The sequence below is a fragment of the Homo sapiens genome, chromosome 2 (assembly GCF_000001405.40).
Source record: "Homo sapiens chromosome 2, GRCh38.p14 Primary Assembly".
In the NCBI taxonomy this organism is placed as follows: Eukaryota; Metazoa; Chordata; class Mammalia; order Primates; family Hominidae; genus Homo; species Homo sapiens.
The window spans coordinates 120,980,637-121,007,025 of record NC_000002.12 but is presented as its reverse complement, the minus strand read 5'-3'; the positions used below and the strand labels follow the sequence as shown (position 1 = coordinate 121,007,025).

At 51.5% G+C, this 26,389-nt stretch overlaps 1 protein-coding gene across 8 annotated transcripts in view, besides 2 other annotated features; it reads right to left on the bottom strand.

Annotated features, from left to right (window-relative positions):
* Nucleotides 4,085–4,648: an enhancer, noted in NCBI's record as "NANOG hESC enhancer chr2:121759954-121760517 (GRCh37/hg19 assembly coordinates)". NCBI's record gives its function as "activates a minimal SCP1, AML or CMV promoter by ChIP-STARR-seq in naive H9 embryonic stem cells {active_cell/tissue: H9 hESC(naive)}" and the evidence as "EXISTENCE:reporter gene assay evidence [ECO:0000049][PMID:30033119]".
* The window catches only part of GLI2 (GLI family zinc finger 2), a 256,786-nt gene continuing 244,769 nt past the window's right edge, over nt 14,373–26,389 (bottom strand). For all 8 annotated transcript variants that reach the window (NM_001371271.1, NM_001374353.1, NM_001374354.1 and 5 more), the window contains 4 exons: nt 24,146–24,310; nt 22,283–22,555; nt 20,412–20,748; nt 14,373–18,818 (listed from right to left, as the gene is read on the bottom strand). In NM_001371271.1, the coding sequence (NP_001358200.1) occupies nt 16,351–18,818; nt 20,412–20,748; nt 22,283–22,555; nt 24,146–24,310 (3,243 nt within the window). In that variant the 3' untranslated portion in view covers nt 14,373–16,350. The remainder of the gene's footprint in view (nt 18,819–20,411; nt 20,749–22,282; nt 22,556–24,145; nt 24,311–26,389) is intronic.
* Nucleotides 23,745–24,255: an enhancer, noted in NCBI's record as "H3K4me1 hESC enhancer chr2:121740347-121740857 (GRCh37/hg19 assembly coordinates)". NCBI's record gives its function as "activates a minimal SCP1, AML or CMV promoter by ChIP-STARR-seq in primed H9 embryonic stem cells {active_cell/tissue: H9 hESC(primed)}" and the evidence as "EXISTENCE:reporter gene assay evidence [ECO:0000049][PMID:30033119]".

Below are 26,389 nucleotides of genomic sequence, written 5' to 3'. Positions count from 1 at the left end.
AGGGCCCTGCCAGCAAGAGACTTCCGGTCTAACGGGGAGATGAACTCTCGGCAGACCCCTTCCGTGCTCAGGTAGCTAACTCTCACTTATTCAAGCATTCATTCCACAACCAGAGACTGAGTCTGGCCATGGTGCCGGCTGAGGTCAGGTAGCCTAGGAATGCAGTCAAATGAAACATGGCCCCACTCTCCAGGAGCACAGAGTCTACAGGGAAGTCAGACTGAAAACGGGCATTTCAGTAAAATGTTGTAAATTCTCTCATGGGAGATGTTACCATTTGTTCTGCTGAGAGCTAGACCTACCCAGGGAGAAAGGAATCCATGTGGATTTGACAGGACTGACCACCCCTGGTCACCTGCCCCTTCCTCCAAAACCTCATTGTCAGTATGTGTTGCAAAGGCCATATCCAGAAGGAAATGAGTCACTTTATTTCATTTCATTTTGGTAGTCAGCCTATAATGGAGCTTTTCTTGTTTTTCAAAACAAGTCAGGCAGATGAAACTGAGCACACACATAGTTACATGTGTGCATGCATGCAACACACACATACACATGTGCACACATGCATGCACGCACACACACACACACACACACACACACACACACACACTCTCTCTCTCTCTCTCTCTCAGGCTGTTTTCTGGCTTCCAAATTTCTTAAGTATGAGGCCATTTTCCTCCCTGGCCAAATGGCTGTCTGCAGAGTGCTGGGGCGGCCCATAAATTGTCCTGCCCATAATATAAAACACAGCCCTTATTGACAGCTCGTAAAGCAGGGCCCGGTGTCACTCCCGCCGAGCGGAGGCAATAAAGGGCACGGGGGAATTACCTCTAGCTCCAGCAGCTGGCCACGCTGCAGGGACACCGGCAGCAGGCCTAATGGGTTCTCCTCCCTGCCTTGTAAAGCATTACATTTAGACATTATTTCTCCCCCGCCCAAGAGCAATTTCTTTTAGGGAGAGAGGCAGCTCCTTGAAAGAGGCACCATCTCTGATGCTCAACCTGGCGCTGGAATCACAAATGCCCACATAAGAGGGCAGTGACGTCCTTGGATCCTCAGCCTCTTCTGTTTCCCTAAGGCTGCTGCCGCTCCCCAGTAACAACTGTCCCAGACCTTCTCCACCATTCTTGGGGCTCTGATTATCCCTCTCCCAGCAGAACACCTTGGTGCCTACATCAAGGGCTAGGATAGAAGCTCTCTTTTCTTCCCAGTCCCAAACCTACAAGCAAGCTCCAATCATCCCTCTTCTCTTTCCTTCCCTCCTGTTCCAGTAGGGCCATTTTCCATCCTGCTGTCTAAGGCCCACCCTCCCCAATCCCTTCCCATGTTTTTGCTCCCGCCACACACTCTGGTTATCTCACCCTCCACCCCCTATCCATTTGGCATCTCCCTCTGAGCTGGATCATCTCAGCGACTCTCCACATGCTCAAATCTTTCCCATTAAAAAATGATCACAAACAAAACCTCTCCTGCTATTGTTCTCTCTTCTCTTTCCCCTTCACTGGCAAACTTCTGGAAGGAGTGGTTGCTAGACGATTCTACTTCTGGCTCTCCCTGCCTCTCTCCTACCTGACACTGCTCCATCATGTGCCATCCCAGCACCTGCTTCTGTCACCAATGAGCTCATTTGGCAAGCGTGAATTACACAGTGATTTTGAAGCTTATCTGTGCTGTGAAAAAAAATACAGTAGGTAAAGAGATGGGGCTGGGGGGTGGTATTCTAATTTTAAGTAGGGTGGTTAGGATAGCAAAGACCTGAAGGAGGTGAAGTGTGAGTCACGTGGATACCTGGGGAACAGCCAGTGCAGAGGCCCTGGGGCAGGGTGTGCCTGGAGTATGCCTGGGGAAGCAAGGAAGCCAAGTGGATGACGTGAAGCATAGCAGTGGAGCAGAGCGCTAGTAAACCAGGAGGTGATAGGGGGAGGAAGGGGAATGAGGGCTGAGGGAGCCCGTGTGCTGGGAGGGACAGGAGCACAGCATCAGTGCTAAGCAGAGGAGTGACGTGACTTGGAAGAACTGCTTCGACTGGAGACTGAGCAAAGGCAATAGGAGACCAGGATGGGGAAATGTGGACCAATAAGGAGGCTTGGTGAAGAGCTTAGGATAAGAGGGGGATACAGCAGGGGAGCAGAGTGCTGGTAAACCACCTATCCCAGAAGGGGCAAAGAGAGTCCTGATCTGATCATTTCTTGGTTTCGGGCTCCAGCATGCCATGGAGGCCCACAGGGTTATGGTGAAAAGTGAATAGACTCTGGATATTCTTTGAAGTTAGAGCCAGAAGGATTTCTTGACAGACTGGCTGTGGGATATGAGAGAAAGCAATGGGCAAGGCTGACCCAAGGCTGCTGAAATGCACGGCAATGCGGGGGCCAGCCACTGTTGCCAACCCTCCTGGAAAGGCCCTCTCCCTGGAGCCTGGGGCACCCCCCCGGGTTCTTCTCCCCTTCTTCTTATGGTTTCCTCTCAAACTCCCTGGCAGCTGCATCCTTCTGGTCCTGGCCCTTCATCGCTAGCATTTCCCAAGGCTCCTGAGCAGGCTTTCTCCTCTCTGGAGCTCCACCTTGCCCCACGTGAGCTCACCTACAGCTCCCAGCATCTCTTCCATGCTCCAACTCATAGGTAAGTACCAGGACCCCAGGCTCTTGTCTGAGCTCACTCCAGACCCACCAAACCTAATGCCTCTCAGGCCTTTCCTCTTGGGTATCTCAGAGGCACAGCAGACTCAACGCATCCAAATTGTAACTCACGATGTCCCTCCACCCACCCTGCCCCATATCGTCCCCACCTAATCTCACTGGCCCTCGTCCAACACTCCTCATCACCACATCAGGCAAGTCAGAGACTAGGGCATGCTCCATACCACCTCCTTCTCTCTTATTCCTCGTGTGGAACCCTTGCTGAGTCTTGTTGCTTACATGCCTCACGTAGCTCTTTTTAAAAAAAATCTATAAAGAAAATAGGTTTATTTGGCTCACAGTTCTTCAGGCTGTACAAGCAGCATGGTGCCAGCATCTGCTTCTGGTGAGGACTCAGGAAATTTCCAATCATGGTGTAAGGCGAGGGGGAAGCCCATATCCCATGGCAAGAGCAAGCAAGAAAGAGAGAAGGTAAGTGCCAGCCTTCTTTAAACAACCTCTCATGTGAACTAGCAGAGGGAGAACTCACTCGTCATTATGAGGAAGGCACCAAGCCACTCATGAGAGATCCGCCCCCATGACCCAAACACCTCCGACCAGGCCCCACCACTAACACTGTGGATCACATTTCGACATGAGATTTGGAGGGGACACATATCCAAACCATATCATCCCACTCCTGGTCCCCCAAATCTCATGTTCTTCTCACGTTGCAAAATACAATAATCTCTTCCCAATAGTCCCTAGAAGTCGTAACTTGTTCGAGCCTCAACTTAAAAGTCCCAAGTCCAAAGTCCAAAGTCTTGTCTGAGACTCAAGGCAAATTCCTTCCAGCTGAGCCTGTAAAATCAAAAGCAAGTTACTTACTTCCAAGATACAATGGTGGTGCAGACATTAGATAAACGTTCTCACTCCAAAAAGGAGAAATCAACCAAAAGAAAGGGTCAACAGGACCCATGCAAGTCTGGAACCCAACAGGGCAGACATTAAACCTTAAAGCTCCAAAATAATCCTTGACTCCATGTCCTGCATCCAGGGCACACTGGTGCAAGGGGTGGGCTCCTAAGGCCTTGGGCATTTCCAAATCTGTGGCTTTGCAGGGTACATCCCCCATAGCTGCTCTCACAGGTTGAAGTTGAGTCCCTGCAGCTTTTCCAGGCTCAGGGTGCAAACTGCCAGTGGATATACCATTCTCAGGTCTAAAGGGCAGCAGCCCCCTTCCCACAGCTCCACTAGGCAGTACCATGGTGGAGACTCTGTGGGGGCTTCAACCCCACATTTCCCCTCCACATTGCCCTAGTAGAAGTGCTCTATGAGGGTTCTGTCCCACAGCACACTTCTGCCTGGGCACCCAGGCTTTCTCATACATCCTCTGAAATCTAGGTGGAAGCTGCCAAGCCTCCTTTATATTCGCATTCTGTGTACCTGCAGGCTTAACACTACATGGAAGCCAGCATGTAGTGGCCTGAGCTGCACATGGAGCTCTTTGGGCTGGAGTCAGAGCTTCCAGGATACTGAGAGCAGTGTCCCAAGGCTGTGCAAGGCAGCAAGGCCCTGGGCCTAACACTCTCCCCCTCCCCCTCAAATTTTTCCTTCCTCCTAGACTTCTGGTCCTGTGATGGGAGGGGCTGCCCTAAGACTTCTGAAATACCTTCAAGGCCTTTCCTGTTGTTGTCTTGGCTATTAGCATTTGTCACTCTTTCAGTCATGCAAATCTTTCTAGCAAGTGGTTGCTCTGCAGCTCCCTTATATTTCTCTCCTGAAAATGATTTTTCCTTCTCTACATGGACAGGCTTCAAACTTTCCTTTATGCTCTGCTTCCCTTTTAAAAATAAATTCTAACTTTGGGTCATTTCTCTGCTCCTATATCTGATCATAGGTCATTAGAAGCAGCCAATTTACTTCTTGAACACTTCTGCTTAGAAGTTTCTTCCACCACATACCCTAAGTCATCGCTTTTAAGTTCAAACTTTCACAAATTCCTGGGGCGTGGACACAATGCAGCCAAGTTCTTTGCTAGGCCATAACGTGGGTAACCTTCAGCTTCCAATAAATTCCTCATTTCCATCTGGGATCTCATCAAACTGGACTTCACTGTCCATATTTCTGTCAGCATTATGGTCACAACCATTTGGCTAGTCTCTAGGAAGTTCCAAACTTTCCCTCATCTTCCTTTCTTTTTCTGAGCCTTCCAAATTCTTCCAAACTCTGCCTGTACCCAGTCCCAAAGCCACTTGCACATCTTCAGGTCTTTATAGCAATGCCCCAATCCTTGGTACCAATTTTCTGTGTTAGTTCATTTTGCCTTGCTATATGGAATATAATGGAATATATAAGGGAATACCTGAGACTGGGCAATTCATACAGAAAAGAGACCTATTTTGTTCACAGTTCTGCAGGCTGTACAAGCAGCATGATGCCAACATTTGCTTCTGGTGAGGCCTCAGGAAGTTTACAATCATTGAGGAAAGCAAAGAGGAAGCCTGTAGCACATGGTAAGAGGGAGCAAAAGAGCCTTAAGTGGCTCTTGAATCCACCATGACTCCATTTCTCCACCATCCCTCCCTGGATGCCACATGCCAGGTGGTGTTCCCTTGTACATCCTGCCAAGTCCTTCTCTGCCTTGCAGTTAGAGCTTTGCAACATGCAAGTCTTATCATGTCATTCCCATGCAAAAACTGCTCTAATGCTTTCTGATGCTCTTAGGAGAAAGCTTGAGCTTACCCTAGGCTACAAAGCTTTGCACTACTGGCCTTCTTCCCCACTCCTTCAGCCCCTTACCCTCTGCCAGCCATGCCTGCTTTTTTTACTTACTCACTGGCACCATGTTCTGCACTCCTCCCTCAGGGCCTTTACAGATACTCTTCCCTTTTCCTGGAATACCTCTCCCTGCCCTTTTTGTATGGCCATCTCTCAGACCAAGGCTCAGTCGCCATTTTCTCAGGTGTCTTCTCCAAACTTCCCGACTTGCTCAAATCTGCCCATTATATTGTCTCATAGTACCATGAGCCTTCATGGCCCTGAGAACTGCAGTTCTCCTTTATTTGCTTAATGCCACTTTCCCTTATTGTCGACAAGCCTCGTTTTGCTCACCACTCTCAACACAGTGAGGTGAGGGCACAGGGGTTAGAAGTCCTGAGTCTAAATCCCCATCTGCCACTCAGTGGCAAAGTAATCTTGGACAAGTTAACCTAACTAGAGATAATATAGTTCCTACCTATTGTGTAGGGTTGTCGTGAGGATTGCAGAACTCCATTAATGTAAACTGTCTATCACAGTGCCTGCCACAGAGTAAATAAACACTGTGAGTGGTAGACACAATCATTGGTCCCTGTTCATCACCTTGCCTGGAGTCCATGCCCTGGCCTTGCCTCCTTAAGGGTAGGATGAAATTCCTTGCCTCTGTGACTTTGGGTCTGGCCATGTCACTTGCTTTGGTCAAGAGAAAGGGACGGAAGTAGCAGTGGACCAGTTCTGAACCTAGGCCTTAGGGGGTCTGGAAAATTCCTATGTCCTCTTAAACTTCTGCCATCACCACGAGAAGACTCTCCCTGAGGTCACTGGTGACTCTTCAGTCTGGACTCCAAAATGTGGAGCTGGGCCATTGAGCCTGGCCTGGCATAGGTCAGCCCATTCTTGGGAAACCCATGGAGCAGTGAGAACAAATGATCATTGCTTTAAGCCTGTGAGTTTTGGGATGCTTTTTCTCCACATTATTGCAGCAATATAACCTGCCCAAGAGAAGTAACGTGTATGGTATAGTGCTTGGGACAGAGCAAACACTGAGGGTAGCTCCCTGTCCACAGTAGCTGCGGCAGGTCACCAGGCTGGCCCTTGACATCCTTGCCAGACCTGCAGAGCTGCCTTCCTTCCATGGTCATGTTATCAGCCACAGCTTAAGCAGGGACACAGGACCACTGTGATGGATAGATGGATGGATGGATGGATGGATGAATGGATGGATGGATAGATAGATGTCAGACAAAGAAATCATGATAGATGATAGATAGATAGATAGATAGATAGATAGATAGATAGATAGATAGATGATACAGAGATCATACTAGCTAGCTAGATAATAGGTAGATAGATAGGTGGGCAGGTAGATAGGTAGACAGATGGATGGATAGATAGATAGATAGATAGATAGATAGATAGATAGATAGATAGAGAAATGGATCTGCTGCAAGGACCTGGCCTTTCACAGTCATGAGGGCTGGTCAAGCAGTCTCTGTAAGGCCTTTTTGCTGTGTCTGATGCTGGAACTCGAAGCCCACAGGCAGGTGGTCAGGAAGAGAAGATACCTATAGACTGGGGGAGCAAGGACAAGCTGGAGCCCACGAGGACAGACTGAGAGCTGTCAGTGCTTGTTGCTTCTGGCCTTGGTGGTATGAATGTCTTTCTGAAGCCAAGGCCCCCACCATGGCACTAAACATACACACCTGGCCTATGGAGGTGGGGCAGCGGAAGGAGGAGCCAGGGAAGGTGGAGGCCCAGATGGCTGCCCCACAAAGATGGGCAGAGCCCGCAGGTAATCGACTCCACAAATGGGCTGTGAAATGCCTGCTGCATCCCTCTGCCCCCACCCACCAAGTCTCCCGCAAGAATCTCTCTTGTAATCCAACCTAACGGAAACACCCAGGAGCAGGAATTCTGAGAAGCATGGATCAGCTCAGCCAAGTTGACATGTTGCAAAGTTACTGGGCCTCAAAAATACCTTCAGACCAATTTTTAGGAATGAAGTTACTGATGAAATGAGTTCTTGCAGTGGTGGGACTGAGGGTAATCTTTTCCAGGGGTATTTCTGCTCCAAATCTATTAGCCAAAGGAATATTTCTGTGATGATGATGTCTCTTGGCACAAAGAGGGGAAGCTTGTTGAACACCCACTAAGGCTGAGGAATATTACATATTTTGTCTCATTTCATCCTTGAAAGCTTTTTGGGATGGGCAATTTATCAAACCTATATCACAGATGAGGACAGTGGGGTTCAAGGCCCCTTGTCAGTTCTCATAGGCCAGGCCTGGAGCTCTGTAAGGAAGTGAAGATTTATCTTCACAGTGTAGGGAAGAGTTGCTGCCACGCAGATGCCTGGTGGCTGAATCTAACTGTGCTTAAATTCGTATTGCCCTAGTGGCTAAGGATGGTGAGCAGCCTTTCCTGTGCTCATGTGCCTCCATATATCCTCTTTAGTGAAGCATCTGTCCAAGTTTTTTTCCCCATTTTTAAGCTGGTTTGTTTTCTTACCATTGATTGTGAGAGTTCTTTATATAGTCTGGATACAAGTCCTTCATTGGATGTGTGATGAAATAATATTTTCTCCCAGTCTGTAGCTTGTGTTTTCATTCTCCTGTCTCTTTCAGAGAACATATTTTTAAATGTTATGAAATCCAATTTCCCAAATTTCTCCTTTTATGGACCATGTTTTTTGGTGTCATGTATAAAAACTTTTTGTCTAACCTCAGGGCATAAAGACTTTTTCTGCTATGGTTGCTTCTAAAAATGTTGTGGTTTTATATTTTATATTAGCTGTATGGTCTATTTTGAGGCAATTTTTGTGAGGTGTGAGGTTTAGGTCAAGGTTCATTATTTTTTTCTGCCTATGGATATCCAGTTGTTTCAACATCATATGTTTTAATTCTTTTCCTATTGAATTGCCTTGGCACTTTTGTTCAAAATCCATTGTTATATTTTGTGGGTCTATTTCTGGATTCTCTATTCCAAGGGTTGGCAAATGTTTTCTGTGAAGGGTAAAATAGTAAATGTTTTAGGCTTTGTGGGCCATATGATCTCTGCTTCATATGCTTTTATTATTTAAAAAAACCCTTTAAAAATGTAAAAACCATTATTAGCTCATTGGTCATACAAAAAGAGACCATGGCCAGTGTGTATTAGTCTATTCCCATGCTACTATGAAGAGATACCCTAGACTGGGTAATTTATAAAGGAAAGAGGTTTAATTGATACACAGTTCGGCATGGCTGGGGATGCCTCAGGAAACTTACACTCATGGCGGAAGGGGAAGCAGGCACTTCCTTCTTCACAAGGCAGCAGGAGAGAGAAGTGCCAAGCAAAGGGGGAAAAGTCCCTTATAAAATCATCAGATCTTGTAAGAACTCACTCACTATCATGGGAACGGCATGGGGATAACCATTCCTATGATTCAATTACCATAAAATGTTTTGGTTTTATATTTTATATTAGCTCTATGGGAACCACCGGGTCCCTACCACAACATGTGGGGACTGTGGAAACTACAATTGAAGATGGGATTTGGGTGGGGACACAGCCAAACCATATCAGCCAGATTTTGCCTTTGGGCTACAGTGCATGACCCTGCTCTGCTCTGTTCCATTGAGCTGTGTCTTCCCATCACCAATACCACCCTGTCTTGATGATGCCAGCTTTACAGTACATCTTAAAAGCAGGTTGTGTGAGTGCTTTATTGTGTCTTTTAATTGAGGCTTTTAGGCCGTTTTCATTTTATGTAATTATTTATATGTTTGGATTTAGGTCAACCATTTCATTCTTTGTTTTCTCTGTTGCTTCTTTTTGTTGTTATTATTCCTGTTACTCTTTTTTGCCCTCTTTTGGGTTATTTGAACATGCTTTTAGTATTCCATTTTGATGTCTCTATTGTGGTTTTGCCTACATCCTTTTGTATAGTTTGTTTGGTCTTTTTCTGATTGCACTAGGGATTAGAATATATATAACTTTGCACAGTCTGCAGAAGAATACTTGCCCACTTCAAGTGGAATGTAGTTCTAGAACCCCATACAGGTCCTTAACCCTCTCCACTTATGTAATACTTGTCTTTGTGACACCTACATACATGGAAAACTCCATCAAACAATGTTGTACTTTTTTCCTCTTAACTGTTGAACGTATTTTAAAGAACCCAGGAGGCAGGAGTAGTCTACTGTATTCCTGCAAACACTTACCACTTCCGCTGCTCTTCCTCCAGTCCTGATGCTCCACGTTTCCTTCTGGGATCACTTCCCTTCTGCCTTCTAGGGCAGGTCTATGGGCAATGAACCCTCATAGTTTTCCTTTATCTGAGAATGTCCATTTATCTCACAGTATCTATTTTACCAAGGATATTTTCATGAATAACGAGTTCTGGGTTGACAGTTCTTTTCTTTCAGCACTTTAAAAATATTTCACTTACTCCTGGCTTTCATGGTTTCTGATGAGAAATCTCCAGTCCCCTCAGATGAACTCCTATTAATCTTTCAAAATCTAAATCAGATCTTTTTTCTTTTTTAACTTTTATTTTAAATTCAAGGGTACAAGTGCTTGTTTGTTACATAGGTAAACTTGTGTCATGGGGGTTTGTTGTACAGATTATTTAATCACCCAATTAAGCCTAGTACCCTTCAGTTATTTTTCCTGATCCTCCTCCTCCTCCCAGCCAGATATTTTTTCTTATTCAAATCATTCTTATCTTTCATCCCTTCCCCGTTAGTTGCTCACTCCCTCCTACGAGAAACAGAGAGAGAGAGAGAGAAAAAGAAATAAGAACAACAACAAGAAGAGAATAAGAAGAAGCAAAAGAAGGAGAAGGAGGAGGAAAAGGAGAAGGAGGAGGGGAAGGAGGGGGAGGGGAAGGAGGAGAAGGAGGAGAAGAGGAAGAGGAGAAAGAGGACGAAGAAGAAGAAAGAAGAAGGAGAAGGAGAAAGAAGAAGAAAGAAGAAGAAAAAGGAACCCCCCTACTGTTATCCTTTTCTGGTTGTATTTATTTTTTATTTTATAGAACTGGGGTCTTACTCTGTTGCCCAGGCTGGAGGACAGTGGTCCAATCACTGCAGCCACGAACTCCTGGGCTCAAGCAATCCTCCTGCCTCAGCCTCCCCAGTAGCTGGGACTAGAGGCACATACCACTACACCTGGCTTCTTCTGGGTTTAGAACCAACTAAAATACAGACTCAGCAGACAGATGGAGGTTGCAATGTTGGTCTTACTGTTAAAAAAGCTGGATTGAGGATGTGGTAGGTTAGATGTTTGTTTGTTTTTTTGAGACAGGGTCTCACCCTGTTGCCCAGGCTAGAATCGCAGTGGTGCCGTCACAGCTCACTGCAGTCCCCACATCCCTGGGCTCAGGTAATGCTCCCACCTCAGCCTCCCAAGTAGCTGTGACTGCAGGTGCATGCCACCATGCCCAGCTGTTTTCTTTTTGTAAAGACAGGGTTTCACCATTTTGCCCAGGCTGATCTTGAACTCTTGAGCTCAAGCAATCCTTTGGCCTTCCAAAGTGCTGGGATTACAGGCCTGTGCCACTATGCCTGGTCTGGATTGTTGCTCGGATACCTGTCTCCCCTCACTGTATAGAAGTGAGCTTCTTAGTTCCACTGACCTGGGGCTCAGCCATATGCTTTGCTTTCGGTTCCTAGCCTAGGCCCAAAGAGGCTCCTGTGTTATTTCTTGCCCGTTTGTCCTTCTGCCATCACTGCTAGATGTCCGAACAATCCTCTGGTCCCAGGGAGAGGAGTGGCACAGGAGGAGAGCTGAGCTGCTCCAGCAAGCCCAGCCTCGCTAAGTCCACCTCAGCTAACTCGCAGACTTAGGAGCTGAACAGATGCCTCCTGTTGTAAGCATTTTTTTTTCGAAGTCTCGCTTTGTCGCCCAGGCTGGAGTACAGTGGTGCGATCTCGACTCACTGCAACCTCCGCCTCCTGAGTTCAAGCGATTCTTCTGCCTCAGCCACCGGAGTACCTGGGACTACAGGCGTGTGCCACCACACCCAGCTAATTTCTGTATTTTTAGTAAAGACAGGGTTTCACCATATTGGCCAGGCTGCTCTTGAACTCCTGACCTTCTGATTCGCCTGCCTCAGCCACCCAAAGTGAGCCACTGCGCTCAGCCTGTAAGCATTTTTATTAGACAGCACTACTGGACTGCAGTTAACTTATTCTGAAATTGGTACCTAGAATCGGAGGCTGCTGCTCCTAAAGTATGTAGCAGAGGTTTGGAACTGGGCAGTGAGGAAATACAGAGGCGGCTGGGAAAACTGGCAAGAAAGATGGTGACCTGTGTTATGTGGTGGAGAGACATCTGGTAAAGTTATTGCCTATGATACTTTGGGAGGGAGAAAATGGACCTATGAGTTAGTGGAGTTGGGCAGGACGGTTTCCAGGCAGAATATTGTAAACATGAGCTTTTCGAGCTGCAAATGATAAGGTTCTACAAGTAAGAGACGAGTTCGGAAAGGAACTAGCCAGTGTACAAGCAGAATTTAGAAAACAAAATCACTTCCCATCTCCGGGCTCTCCAGCCAGTAAAAGGTCCTCAAATTAATATTAGGTTGGTGCAAAATAATTGTGGCATAAAAGTAATTATTTTTGCACCAATCTAATATCTGGCCTGGGAGGCAAAGACCAGATCCAGAGCTACGTTGGTGAAGCATGCCTCAGAGTTGAGATGACATCAGGGATGTACCCTTAATGGTAATGCCCTTTGTCATCAGGTCCTTGCAAGGAATAAGGTGACATCAAGCATATCCTTTTAGTAACAACAGGGTGCCTACAAACTATCAAGGTGTGGCCTACAGCAGCCTGATGTGGGGGTACACATTGTCAGACGTAGAGAGGCATATTGCCAAAGGAATTTGGGTGTGGCTTCTGACACACAGTGGGCTGGAGTCAAATACATAGAAAACTCCTGAGATGCTTGAGAGATCGCTCTGGGCAAAGGCATCGCCCAGGACTCAAGGAAACTGAGACTGTTTGAACCTAAAGAACCTTAGGTTCCCAACTTCCCACAGGCAGGAAGAAGCTGAAAGTTACTCTGCTACCAAAGGGACTGTTTTCCAACATCCTCATCAGAAGTTGAAAGGACGATGGAAAAGGAAGAAGGCCCCAGCGGTGGAAGCTAGAACTGTGGCGCACGATGGCCTGGGGGCCGCTCGGAGCACCCCACCTCCAGAGCAGGGGCGTTGCAACATTTGCCCGGCAGGACTTCAGATGCCTGAACCAGGGACTGCTGTGTGCCTCCGTCTCCCTTTCTAGATGGGAGTGCTCATTAGTGTTATTCTAGCCCTGGTCCACCACTGTATGTTGGGTGTATGAGCAGGGTGCGACGGGCAGAAAACTTGTCTTTTTAGCTGGTAAGACTCTGGGTCAAGAAGAACCACACCCAGATATAGACCACAAGATCCTGGACTTTAAGCCTGAGGAAGTCTGACTGGAGAGTTTTTTCTTTTTTTCTGGGGGTGTTGATTGGGTATATTCTGCATGTGGAACATGAATAACTGTCTCTAGGAAGGCAGGCTGTGGTAGACTGGATTACTGTCGGGAAATATTTGCTCTCTCCTGCTCACTTCCGCAGGAGTACCCTTCCCTACTGCATGGGTGCTGGCCACGTGACTTGCTTTGGGGACCTGCAGCTGCTGGCTTGCCCTCCTGTGCTTCTGTCATTGCTAGTGTCTTGGTCCTGGGAGGAAGATGTGTCACACTGGGGGAGGCCAAGCCACCTAGACTAGATGACCCCAGCTGAGCCACAGTTGGAGACAGCCCAGGCAAGCCCGACCCGGGGCAGCCAACCTTCAGACCTTCAGGTTCATGAGCTAACTACATGCTTATTGTTATACGGTGCTGAGGTTTCACGGATGTTGTTATGCAGCGTGACTGTGGCCATCGTTACCTGACACAGAGGAGATGGCTCGTCTGAATGGCCACAGTGGGCTCTTAATTCTGTGGCTCGTGCAACCTCAGGTGGCACTGAACAACATTAGGCCTCACCCTCTCCACAAAGTAGGGCAGAGCTGCTTCCAGAGGCTTAACAAGTGGTGAAGCAGAGAAGGTGTGAGCCCCGAAGGTGGGCTTTGGAAAGAAGAGGAGGGAAGGGCAGAGCTGTGCATGCTTACTTCCTCCCTGGGAGCTCGCCGAGTGACATTGCTCCTTGGGGAGGAGAGGGGCCTTTCCACTAGGAAATGTTGGCCAGAGAAGTGGTGGCTCCCTGATGCACAGTGGAGGCTGTGGGATGCCTGCGGAAAGGAAATCTGCTCAATTCTATTCTCCTTGGGGGTTTCCTGCAAGTGTCTGACCACAAAACCCTTCCCCGGTCCATGTGTCTCATGCCTTCCAGGCAAAGATGATGTCCCATGTGTCTTTGGTGTCCACACTGCCCAGCCTGCGTGCTAAGGCTTCTCTCCTGGAGAGGAGAGGGTAAAGGGCTCTGGGCTCGGTGTTCAGAGGCCCGGGTGCCTGGCCCTTAGAAAGTGCCCTCTTCCCCTCTAGTTCAGTCCTGGGGCTCTGCTCCCTGCTCCGTCTCTGGCCCTACCCCCAGATGGGGCCTCATGACTCATTCAAGGGCTCCCTGAGGTTTACTGTAGGGGCCAACAGCTGACTGTCTGCCCACTGGACCCAGGCTTTCCCTGTCCACCTGCTGGGCGGCCCCCTAGAGCTCAGAGCCCCTGCTCGTGGTTGCTCCCCATGGGCCCCTTTGCCAAGGCCAACTGCTGGGCATCCTGGAGGTGCCACCTGCCTGCCCTGACTCCTTCTACCTGCACCAGAGCCTTGGGGGTTTGCCCATCTCACCCCGCCCCACCCTGATGAAATATGCTCCATCAGAGGGCCCACCAAAGGGAGGGTTCTGACCCTAGGAGTGTTTGGGTCTATACCCCGGTCTGCAATGCATATAGATGTTCAGAGTGGCTCACCGGAAGAGCAGTCAGATATTCACTGTGAAATGTCAAACCCTGCCCGGCCCCAAGGAGACAACAAACAAACAGCCAGTAAATGCCTCAGCATTAAACATTTCTTGGCAAAGGCGGGATAGTCAATTTTGACACTGTTAAGAAAAAATACAGCCTAATTTCTGCTCGAATGCACCAAATTTACTGCCCAGGTTCTCATTAACTACTGTCAAGGGGGAAGCAGATAGACAAGATAAATTATGAAAAAATTACTTTTTTAATGTACAAAAAGACTTATTTACAAGTTGAGCATGTCATCTCAATTCATAGCATGTAGAAAAAGCTAAAAATGTTTTGGAGATATAAATTTGGCTGGACGACTCACCTACAGTATATTCAGGGATGTCTTCTGTACAGAATATATACAGGTTGGGACTGGCAAGGGAAATCCTATCTCAGGAAGGCGATGAACACCACCACAGAGCCACAGACCCTTAGCAATGTTCCCTGGCTTTCATTTGCAGTTGGCCTTGTCTCTGGACAGAGTTTGATGTGCTGGGACGCAGCGAGCCCAGATGACGATGTTGGCCTTGTCCTCAAACTCTCCTAAGAAGTTCCTCATTAAGGCCAAGGTCACAGTCAGAGTCACACTCTGAGTGGTGCTGTTTGGCAAGGTTGCCACACATTCCCCATGAAAAGGTTTGGGGTGTGTGTGTGTGTGTGTGTGTGTGTGTGTGTGTGTGTGTGTGTATGGTGGGGAAGATGCACCAATTCACCCTACAGTGTGTTCAGGAATGATGTCTCCTGAAGCCAGTTCCAAATTCCATTTCCAGGTGGGTCTTGGTCACACTGAACAGGAAAATTCAACGATGCTCCCTCAGAGTCCTGAGGATCAACCCCTTCCCCTTTCCACCCCCAACCACACCACCTACACATGTCATCATTCTCTGCCCAGTGACTCAGCGGGCAGAAGGAAGGGAATCCGGAGGATACCAGGCATGCACACTGTGGCTTGGTGGAGAACACTGGGCTGCTGGTGAGTGCTGGGGGACCGGGCTGCCGTCAGGCCCTGGAGTTTTTGGTGGTAAAGTGGGTGGACGTTGCATTGGAGAAACAGGATTGGGTAAACACGCAACTTCCTCTTCCTACTGAGAGATCCCTAGGGCAGCCTGAGGCTGGGCCCCGGGTGCACCCTCACTCCTCGAGGCCTCAGTCCATCCCTAACCCACAGCGGCTCCAGCAGCCCCGAGGTATTTAGAAACAAGTCTTCTTTTCAGGAAGGGCTACATTCTACATGCAAACACTGTAAACACGGTCTGGAGAGGCCAGGGCAGCTTCTGGGCTTGCCCCAAGGAGTACATTTTTTCTTTCCTTTTTCTGGTGATACTTACATACTTTATTCATTCATATATACTTGGATGCTTTATTCATTCATATACACTTGGATGGGCTGCCAGTCCCAGACTCGGCTTTACGGAGTAGAAGAGCCAGCTCTACCAAACCTGGAATCAGAATGTGCTCCTGAATCATCCAGGTATAATCTGTGCTTTTCCTCTATGACAAGGTATGTTAGAGACCTCAAGAGTTAGGCTTCATAGAGGAATTCAGGTGGACCAGGAATTCCTTTTCCTTCCAAGTAGTAGAATAAAAAGCTCATCTTTCCGGAGCAGAGTATCCAGTATAGCATTCAGATTCAAACCCAAATGCTCCCTACCATCTTTCTGCATATCCTTTGAAAGGTTTTGGCCAAAGTAATCCCTCGTTAGCCGAATGTCAGCCGTGAAGAAGCCGGAACAGCGCGGTCCTGTAAGCACCAAAGGCTGGAAAGCACTGTGTAAATGAGTTTTGCATTCCTTCCTGTCCTATGGAGACTTTTTTCATTGTTCTGAGGAATAATCCAAAAGACCAGAGAGGATGCCCATAAACCTTCTCTTACAACATCTGTCATCTGAAGCGGCCATTGCGCAACAACCCCTCAAGCCTATTTAACACTTTTTTGGAAAAAGACAAGACAGCTGGAATCCCCAGGCTCTGGGCAGCGATGACCCCTCCGGGTGCACTCAGCACCAGGCGCTCGGGCCTCTAGGTCATCATGTTCAGGAACTTGCTCTCCTCGGCGAGGCTGGTGAGCATGGAGCTCATGTCCCCGACAGCCATGTTGCTGATGCCTGCGGGGATGGAGGGCAGGGTCAAGGAGTTTCGGGGGGTGGTGAGGCGGGAGGAGTTCTGGGAGAGGCTGTGGAGGAGGCTGGGGCTCAGAGCACCCGAGAACAAACTCGAGTGATCGCCATCATCCATGATGGCATCGAAGTCAATCTGGGGGGCCTCCAGGAGCTGGGAGTCCACAGTGCTGGACACCTGGTTGACCCCTGGTGAGGGCAAGGGCTGGGGCTGGATGCTGTCCTGACAGGCCTGTGGCTGTGGTGGCTGGGACCGCATGACCTGGCAGCTCCCGAGGTTCTCCAGGCCTCCATCCTGTTCGTACATGTGGATCTGGCCGTAGTAGTAGAGCATGCTGTGGTCCGGGGCCCCACCTGCGTCCTGCGGAGGCGGCTGGGGAGGCACCGACCCCATGTTGCCCATCGCTCCCTTGGGCACAGCCTCTGCTGTTTCCTGACTGGACGGCATGGCAGCCATGGCATGGCCTGTGGCCCTGGCGTAGGCCAGCTGCTGCTGCACAGCACGTACCCCACGGTGGCGGCCAGTGGGGCTGGGCTCGAGGGGAGGCCGGGGCTGCACTAGGCCAAAGCCTGCTGTAGCCACCCCCATCGGGCCTGTTTGGGGCTCCATGAAGCCAGGCTGGCGGGCAGGCAGAAGGCTGGGGACCTGGTGGTAGCCCTCCTGGCTCATGGAGGCTGCCAGGTGATGGCTCTGCTGTGGGTAGCTCTGGACTGGGTGAGGTGGTGGCACTCCAGCCAGGGCTGAATCGGGGACCCCAAGTTCCCTGTGGCGATTGCCCATCGTGGTGGGGTCAGGTGCCACTTCTGTCTGCTGAGGGTGCCCCAGATGCCCTGGCTTGGCTGGCATGTTGCTGCAGGATTGGGGGAACTGGTTGAGGGCCCCACTGATGGTGCTGGGGCTCAGCTGGGGGTGGACTTGGCCATAGCAGGCATGGGGGCTCATAGTGGTAGTCATGCCAGGACACTGGCTGCCTGCCACTGGCTGTCGCAGCTGCTGCATGTAGTTTACCCTGGGGATGCCCTGGGAGGGGGCTCCGCTGCGGGGCTGCAGGTGTGGCTGCGTGCTGTCCAGGCCCCCAGGGCTAGCCTGTAGGCCTTGCGGACTGTAGCCCGGGTACTGGCCAAAGGCAGGCTTCTGCTGCACCACCGCCAGGTTGCCCTGAGGAAAGGGTGGAGGCTTCACCTGGCTGGCCAGGGCGTCTACGGTGCCGGAGCTCACCTCATTCCACTGCACAGGCATGTTATTTTTGTTCAGGCTGGAGGGCGCCCCAAAGCCTAACTGGCATCCTCCCAGCATAGGGGCGGAGGGGCCCACGTTGGAGTCCGCAGCCACCATCCTGCGCTGGCCGTGCAGCCCCGGGCTGGGTAGTCTGGGGTTGTCAGAGAAGCCAGTGCTTTCCGTGGGATACACCTGCCCGGTGCCCTCGTCCAGAGCGCCACTGGCGTGCGCCTTGATGTACTGCACCACGTCGTCTGGAAGCACCAGGTCGTCCTCCGGCAGCCCCAGGTCGGCCTCGGGCCCCGCGCCGTCCACTCCTGCCGCCACGGCCTCCATCGCCACGTTCTCGCTGATGCTAGGCGGCCGGGGCGAGTAGGCGCCGCGGGCCAGGCCGCCGTCGGTGCTCGGGTGGCTCTGCAGGCGGAGGCCTCGCCTGTCGGCACAGGGCGGCAGCGGGCCGGGGTTCACGTTGTGGGTGCTGTGGAAGCGCTGCACCCGCGGCAGGGACAGGGCATCGGGCCGCCGCACAGGGTCGCTGGCCCGCCTGGCTCCGCCGCCTGGAGCCTCGTGGGGGAAGGCGGGCGCAGCCCCCGCGTGGCCGTGGCCATAGGTCGGCCCGTCGCTGCCACGCCGCGGCCCCAGTGGGCGTGGGCAGCCGGCGGGCAGCGTGCGCTCGGGCGCGTCCAGCAGCGCCAGCCTGGTCCGCAGGCTCATGCGCTCCAGGCCCGGCAGCGGAGTGGGCGGGGGGCCGCCAGTGGCTGCCGCGTACTTGGCCCGCAGGCTGTACTGCTGCGCCGGCGTGAGGTTGAGCAGCCCGGAGCCGCCGCTGCACTGGCTGGCCTCGCTCGAGCGCCGCGACGCGTCCGTGGAGATGGGGTCGTAGGAGTCAGCGGAGCTCGCGTTGTGCGGGCGGCCGGCGCCCAGGGGCGAGGCCTCGCTGGAGCGGCGGCTGGAGAAGTAGGGGGAGATGCCGGAGGAGCGGCGGCTCACGGTGTAGGCCGAGCTGACCGTGCTGGTGGAGCTGTCGCGGCGCTCCTGCAGCTGGCTCAGCATGGTCACCTCGCTCGCGGACAGCTCCGACAGCCGCGGGTTCGGCAGCAGCCCCGCGGGCCCGCCGCCCCCACTGCCACTGAAGTTTTCCAGGATGGAGCCTGCGGGAGAGCAGAGGGGTCAGCACCGGGACAAGGGTGGGTGGCTGCTTGCTTTGACCGTGCTCAGTCATCGCACTGGGCCTGGAGCCCGAGAAGAGGGCTTGCAACACAGCGCACTCAGGAGATGCATGCTTTCTTTCTCTCTTTCTCTTTTTAGAGACAGGATTTCCCAGGCTGGCCTTGAACTCCTGGGCTCAAGGGATCCTCCCTCCTCAGACTCTGGAGTAGCTAGGGCATACGTGGGCCACCGTGCCCAGTGAGCAGATGGTTTTTCAATTAAAAAGGGGAAGGAAAAAGCAATATGTAAACAAATGGTGGCACTTATTGCTAAGGGTGGGCGAGGGGAAGCCAGGAGGCCTAAGTCCCTATCTTCACTTTACCATTATCTGTCTGGCCTTGAATTCTCCTTTCTCTGGCCCTCAGTTTCTCTAGCTGTAGATAAATGTGCCTCTCCGTAGGACTGAGTTACGCAGAGGAGGGGATGAGCAGCTCAGGAAGGCCCAGGTTGGTCTCCTGGCACAGTACCCTCACAGTCTGTGGAGGTGGTGCCACCTAGGCGTCCCTGAGATGGAGTTTAAGGAGCAGGTTATTACAGGGAGTACCCTGAGGTCCATACCCATGGAAGGAAAGACAGGCTGCAAGAGTGGGCAGAGGAGACGTGAGCCCAGGATGATCTCACAGGGAGCCCAGGACCCCCAATGGCTCTTCAGTGCTGCCCTGAGTTGGGCACCTCTCTGAGCCTCATCTTGATGGCTGGGCCTTTACACTCCTGCAGTGACCAGTCATTGCATGCGGGGCTGCTGGGAAGGGGTGACCTTGGGTGGGGCATCTGTCTGCAACCCAGGACATCCCTGTAGGGGGCTGAGAGTTCAAGGCCATTTGCCAGTAGTCCCCACAAGTTGGGACAACAAATCCTCCCTTCAAGTGAGAGCAGGTGGTACATCAGTGTTGACCACAGTGGGCAGCCCGGCACAATCCTAGGCACAGAGTCAGTACCCAAGACATGCTCGTTAAAGACGCCTTCCATCTCAGAGCCTGGCCAACACCTCTTGAGACTGAGCACAGTGCTGCCTCCGCCATGAAGTCCTCCCTGCTCATCCCCAGCTCAATGTGCTTTCTCCTTCCTCTGCACAGCTCTACCCTAAGCTCTGGCTTTGGTGGTACCTGGCTCGTTCTGCAGTAGAGTGTGAATCTGGTGGCACAGCCTTCTAACCATACGCTCCTTTGGGACTGGAATTAAATGGCTCTCCTGCCTAGGGCCTTTGCCATGGTGCCCACAGCAAGTGCCTCATCAGTGAAGGAATGAATGGGTGAGGAAGAGGATGATGTGCGCAGGGTCTGCTTGTTTTGGGGGGTTATAAGGACTCAGAATGGTGCAGTTGAAAGAGCATGGCCTTTGGCTAATCTCACCCCTGCCATTGATTTGGGTAAGGCATTTCACCTCTCTGAGCCTCAGTTTCCTTTTCTGTACTGGGCTGGTAAGATCCTGTAGGAATCCGGTGAGATAGCACTGGTGCTTGGTGGGTGCCAGCCTAGTTGGTGCTGCCCCAGACTCTCTTCTGCCCCATCTGCAAACCCCAGGCCTTTACTCACCACTTCCCGGGAGGGGAGGCAGCTTGGTGTTCCGCGTGTGTGGAGTCGGCCCGGCCCATGAGCAGGAATCCTTGAGTGACTTGAGCTTCTCCTTCTTGAGCTGCTCGAACCGGTGCATGGTGGTCATGTGTTTGCGCAGCTGGAGGCCACCAGCGGAGGGGGCAGCCAGGGCTGAGGTGTCGGCCCCTGGGGGTGTGTCATCCAGTGCCGTCAGGTCTCCCAGGCTCCCGGGCCCCGTCCCCGGCATCTCCACGCCACTGTCATTGTTGGGGGCACTGCCCAGAGGAGAGGGCTCGCTGCTGCAGGACGACTGGGCCCCGGGGCTGGACTGACACAGCTGCAGGGGACGAGGCAAGAAGGCTCAGACTCAGAGGGTATCAGATTCCACCTGGTCCTGCCTCTAGGCCTGCACAGGCACCACACCCTCGCCCACCCTGAGGGGCTGAGGGTGAGGGAAGGAAGCTGCCTTGCGGAGGAGCACGTAAAGCGTCATGAGTCTGTTTGCTTAAAACGGTCAAGTCACTTCACTTCTCTTAACCTTGGCTTCCCCAACTATGAGATGGACCTGAACTGATTCCGGTGCAGAGTTAGTGGGTGGGTGGACAGCACGCAGCGTGCAGAAGGCACCCAGTATGGCACAAAGGAAGGCACTTAAACACTCCCACCAACAGCCATGTACCCTGATGAGGTGAGGAATGAAGCCTGCTGACTTGGTGGCTTCAACCAGACAGGATGATCTCAAAAGGCCAGGGGCAGGTTGTGGGAAAGGGAAAGGATGACCAGGAGGGGGACCTGTGGGATGCAGCCCTTGTGTAAAGGGCCACCCCAAAACAGTCTTCCCTCTGGGTTAGGTAGAGTGGGGCAGGGAGCTCATGGCACATGTACACAGTGCAGAATGCCACAGAACTCGGACAACATCCACTCGGACGACATCCACAGAACTCGGATCTGGGCCCAGATGAGGCTTGCACCAGATGCACCACCACCTCTGGGCTCATTGTTAGGCCAAATGGCCCCAAATTCCAGCTTTCTTGGGAAGGCATGATCTTCCTTCCCATGAGGACACAGGCTTAATGGGAGCAGGGACCTTCTAGGTGTTGTCCATGGCGCCACCCACATTTTTCTGTTTGACCCTCAGGACCTTCTGTAGCCTAGACGCATGCCTCCCTGTCACTCTGTCCCTGATACAGCCTGGCGCCCCTGCTCCCCACACCTGCCAGTTCCACTCCGGCTGCCAAGGCCAATGGCCCCACCTGCAGTGCCCTGCCGTGTGCCTGTCCGGGCCCACCTGCCTGGGCCTAGGAGGCCTAGACTGACAGGTGAGTCTCTGCCAGGCAGCAGCATGGACCGGCTCCCCAGCCACCCTCACTCCCCCAGCCCACCCACACATGCCCAGCTCCTTGGCTCACCTCAGTACCGTCTATCCTTAGGGGAGGTACAGTCAGGAAAAAGAGATGGAGACAAAGAACAGGTGGTTAGAACAAAAGGAGTGGACGCCAGAGGGGTGGGGATGCAGAGACAGGACAGAGGAGTGGGGGCTGGCAGTGGCACTTGGGTGCTGGCTGGAAAGGCAGACTTGCAGGGGCCACCCCCGCCCTGTGCAGGCCCACCGTACAGGGCGGCATCCCTGTCACCCAGCGTGCTGCCACACACCCAGCAGGAGCCTGGTCAGAGCAGAATGGGACCTGGACAAGATAGGTTCCATGTGAGGCCCAAGGTGGTGAAGGGGGAAAGCCAAGTTGGAGAGAGGAGGGATATCGCTGTGCCCCTAGAGGGGGGCCTTAGGGCAGAGCCCGCAACCGTGGCAAGGGGTGGCCCTGGGCACGGCTATGGAGTCGCCTTGCGTGGCTGGGCTGCCCAGCTCCGCTTACCCCGGAGCTCTCGGTCTTGATGGCTCTGACGTGCAGGCAGTCCTCCACGGCCTGGCTGGTGCTGCTGGCCTCGGTGCTCTCTGGGCCGCCAGGCTCCGTGCCGGCCTCACTGTCCCCATTCTCTTTGAGCAGCGGTGTGCGGAGGTGCACGTCATTGCGCTGCTTCTTGGTGACGTGGGCATCTGGGCCGTGGACCGTTTTCACATGCTTCCGGAGAGAGCTGGGGTCTGTGTATCTCTTGGTGCAGCCTGGGATCTTGCAGATGTAGGGTTTCTGGGGAGAGAAGCAGGCCTGTGTCATGGATAGGGGTACGAGGATCAACTCTGAAGGGGCGCTCTCCCTGTTCTCCTGAAGCTACCCACGCCCCTCAGCAGAGCCCAGCTGGCAACGTCAGTAGGTGCTGTGTCAAATTTGCAGCCAGTGCTCTGTGGATGGCACCATGCAGGAGCCTGGCCATAGCCTGGCTTGTCTGCACCTGTTCATGCAGTTAAGCACACGGCCACGGGGGGTCCTGCCACAAGAAGCTGGGGACACATGTGCCTCGTGTAATCACAATGCTGCCTCTCAATGAACAGGGCAGTGGGGTTTTTAGTACTAGTAGCAAGTGTACGAGCTCAGTGTACCCTCTGACAGCACTAGCACCCCTGATTTCTCTGATGAAGAAAGGCAGGATCAGGGAGGCAAAGGAACAGGTTCCAAGTCATCCAGTAATGGGGTGAAAAAACCCAGGATTTCCGAACCTCAGTCCTGGACTCATAAACATGCACACACACACACACACACACACACACACACACCCCACACACCACGTCTACAGAAAAACATACACTTACAAACACACATACACACATGTGCACACACACTCCCCTCTAAGGCTGGCTCTTGTCCATAGAGACTCTGAGGGGTTCAGATGCCTTTGAAAATTCCTCTAACTTCTTACAAGCATTGGAGCAAAGTCCCTTTGGGGTCCAGGATATGTCTAAGCTTTTAAAAACATACATTTCCGAGTAAGCCTGAGCGACAGTAATTGTGTGGCTGGGCCAGGATGCCACCGGCTCTTGCCCTGCTTTCTCCCTGGTTCTCTCAGCCCAGATAGGGGCTCTGCCTACCCAGGGAGACAGAGGCTGCTCTGTGCCCCATCTGCTGGGGCTGACAGCCACGGCAGGCCCAGGCAGCGCTAACAGCTGGAGCATGTCACTGCTGGCTGCCCAAGCCAACAGGCCAGGGGGCTACCAACAAACGCCAAGCTCAGACAGCACTGCTCTGCTTCCCTCAGGCAGTGGGGCAGCTGCTCCCCAGTGGAACACCTGCTTGTGGTGGAAAGGGAATTTGGGGGTGGGGAGCAGTGACCCAGGATGTTTTCACAGCTGCAGAGGGATCATCACTGCTCTGGCACTGGGGAAAGTCACTTCATCTCTGAGTCTTCGTTTCCTCATCTAGAGGATGGGGAGGCAGAGCCCACCCAGCAGCCCCAAGTAATAGGGAGCAGATGCATGTTAAACACTCCGAGATCAGAAGGGCCACTTCCCTGCTTCAACTTCAACTCTCGAGGACCTCATGATGGCCTTTGGGGAGGGCACTATTATATTTATTATGGAGATAAGGAAATTGAGGCACAGAGAGGGTCAGTATGCCATGGGACCTCACGGGGCATCTTTTAGAGGAAAGGATGTGGCATAGAGAAAGAGACCGGTCTGTCTAGGTCTCAAAGAGTCCTGGTCTGTATCTGAGGATGTATAGCTGGTCAGTGGCGGGGGCGGGACATGGGGCACCTGGCTATCTACTGGACTACAGATGCCTGGAAGCCATGGGGCGTCAGTGGGGCCCCAGTGTGCATGCCCAGTGCATGCCCCGCAGAGGTACCTCGTTGGAGTGGGTGCGATTCTGGTGCTTGGCGCGGTCCGAGGCGTTGGAGAAGGCTTTGTTGCAGCCCTCGTGCTCACACACATATGGCTTCTCCCCGGTGTGGGACCGCAGGTGTGTCTTCAGGTTCTCCAGGCGGGAGTAGGCCTTCGAGCAGCCCTCGAACTAGAAGGAGGCGGTTCAGTCAGTCAAGGCACCCCAGGGGGCCCAACCTTGAGGCCGGCTGCTGCTTCCTCCCCACCCCCTTCTCTGCTCTGCTCCAACCCGTCAGCGCACTCAGAAGCATGCATTTTAAGGATATTACTTTCCTTTCCTGAAAACATGGAAAGGGCTGAAAGGTACAAAGAGAAAAATGAAAACCACCGGTCGCCCAGGGGCTGCTACTGCTGACACGCAGGTAAGTTTCATTCTGGTGAGTCTGCAATTCATCTCCACATGTCTTTAAAACCAAAATTGGGAACATGTCAAGTATTCAGTTACATACTCTATTTTTTTAAATCAGCAGCATATTCCCATATCATTAAACTCTAAACTATGACTTTGAACTGTTTCCCAGTACCACTCTCGGTTAGAATTGTCCTGTGCTCTAAAACATGCTGAGAATAAAATTCAGTCCTTCAAGTCCTTGAGTGAGTCGGCCACCCTCATCTTCACTTTGGACATGCTGGTCTCCTTTCAGTTCTTTGACTCCACTAAGTTCTTTCTGGCTTGGGGCCTCTGCATACTACCGACCCCTCTGGCTGGAAACTTCTGCAGCCCCCACCCAATCCGGTTCCTGGCCCAGGTCCCTCCCTCTCAATCTTTTAGGTCATCTCCTCTGAGAGCATTTTTCTGATATTCTCAATCACAACACTCTATCCTCTCTCCTTTATACCCCTTGGCTCGATTTATAATGATCTTAATCATTTTGTTACCCAGCCTTCTTACTAGAATACCAGCTCCATAGAGCAGGAATCTTCTGTCTTGTTCATTGCTGTCTTCCTAATATTTAGCATCTAGGCACTCAAGAAACATTTTTGGAAAGGACGGAAGGAGGAAAGGAGGGAGCAAGGGAGAGAGGAAGGAAGGAAAGGAGGTGGGGAGAGAGGGAAGAAGGGAGGAAGGGGAGAAAGAAGAGATCATTGCAGGAAGCTCTGCAGCTATTCCAAAGATACTGTGGTTGCATTGAATGGATGTATGAAAACCGCCCTCAGGAGGACACGTACACCCGGCAGGAGCTGTCTCATTCCTCCCATCCTCCCCTTTATTCCTGACCAGTCTGATTGAGCATGCTTGGCTCCAAACGCCTTTTATCTGTTTCCACAACTCACAGCTCATATCATCAAAGGGCTATGGTTTGCCACTACTGAGGATGTTAAGAAAATAACTTGTTGCAATGAACCCTGAAGAGCCAGAACCATCTTGCAAAAGGAGGACAAATTTGGAGAACTCATATGCCCCAATTTACTTCCTACAAATTGACAGTAATAAAGACTGCATGTGGTACTGACATAAAGAGAGACATAGAGATCCAGGCAATATAACTGGCAGTTCAGAAAGAAACCCAGACACTTAAGGTCAATTGATTTTTGACAAGGATACCAAGACCATTCAAATGGAAAGAACAATTTTTCAGCAAATGGACTCAGACAACTGCGTAATCACATGCAAAAGAGTAAGTTTGGATCCCTACCTCATACCATGTACAAAGATTAACTCCAGCCTGGGCGTGGTGGCTCACGCCTGTAATCCTAGCACTTTGGGAGGCTGAGGCAGGGGGATCACCTGAGGTTAGGAGTTCAAGACCAGCCTGGCCATCATGGTGAAACCCCGTCTCTACTAAAAATACAAAAAATTAGCCAGGCGTGTGGTGCGTGCCTGTAATCCCAGCTACTCCGGAGGCTGAGGCAGGAGAGTCGCTTGAACCTGGGATGCGGATGTTGCAGTGAGCCAAGATGGCACTATTGCACTCTAGCCTGGGTGACAGAGGGAGACTCTGTCTCAAAAAAAAAAAAAATTAACTCCAAATGGATCAAAGACCTCAATGGAAGAGCTATATTATAAAACTCTCTATACACACATATATTCTTTTTTTAATTTTTAAATTTTTCAGAGTGCCAGTATTCAATATTTCTATAAATAAAAGTCTATATAAACTATAAAACTCTTAGAAGAAAACATAGAGGTAAATTTTTGTGACCTTGGATTAGGCAATGGTTCCTTAGCTATGACGCTAAAAGCACAAGCAATTAAAAAATTGTACAG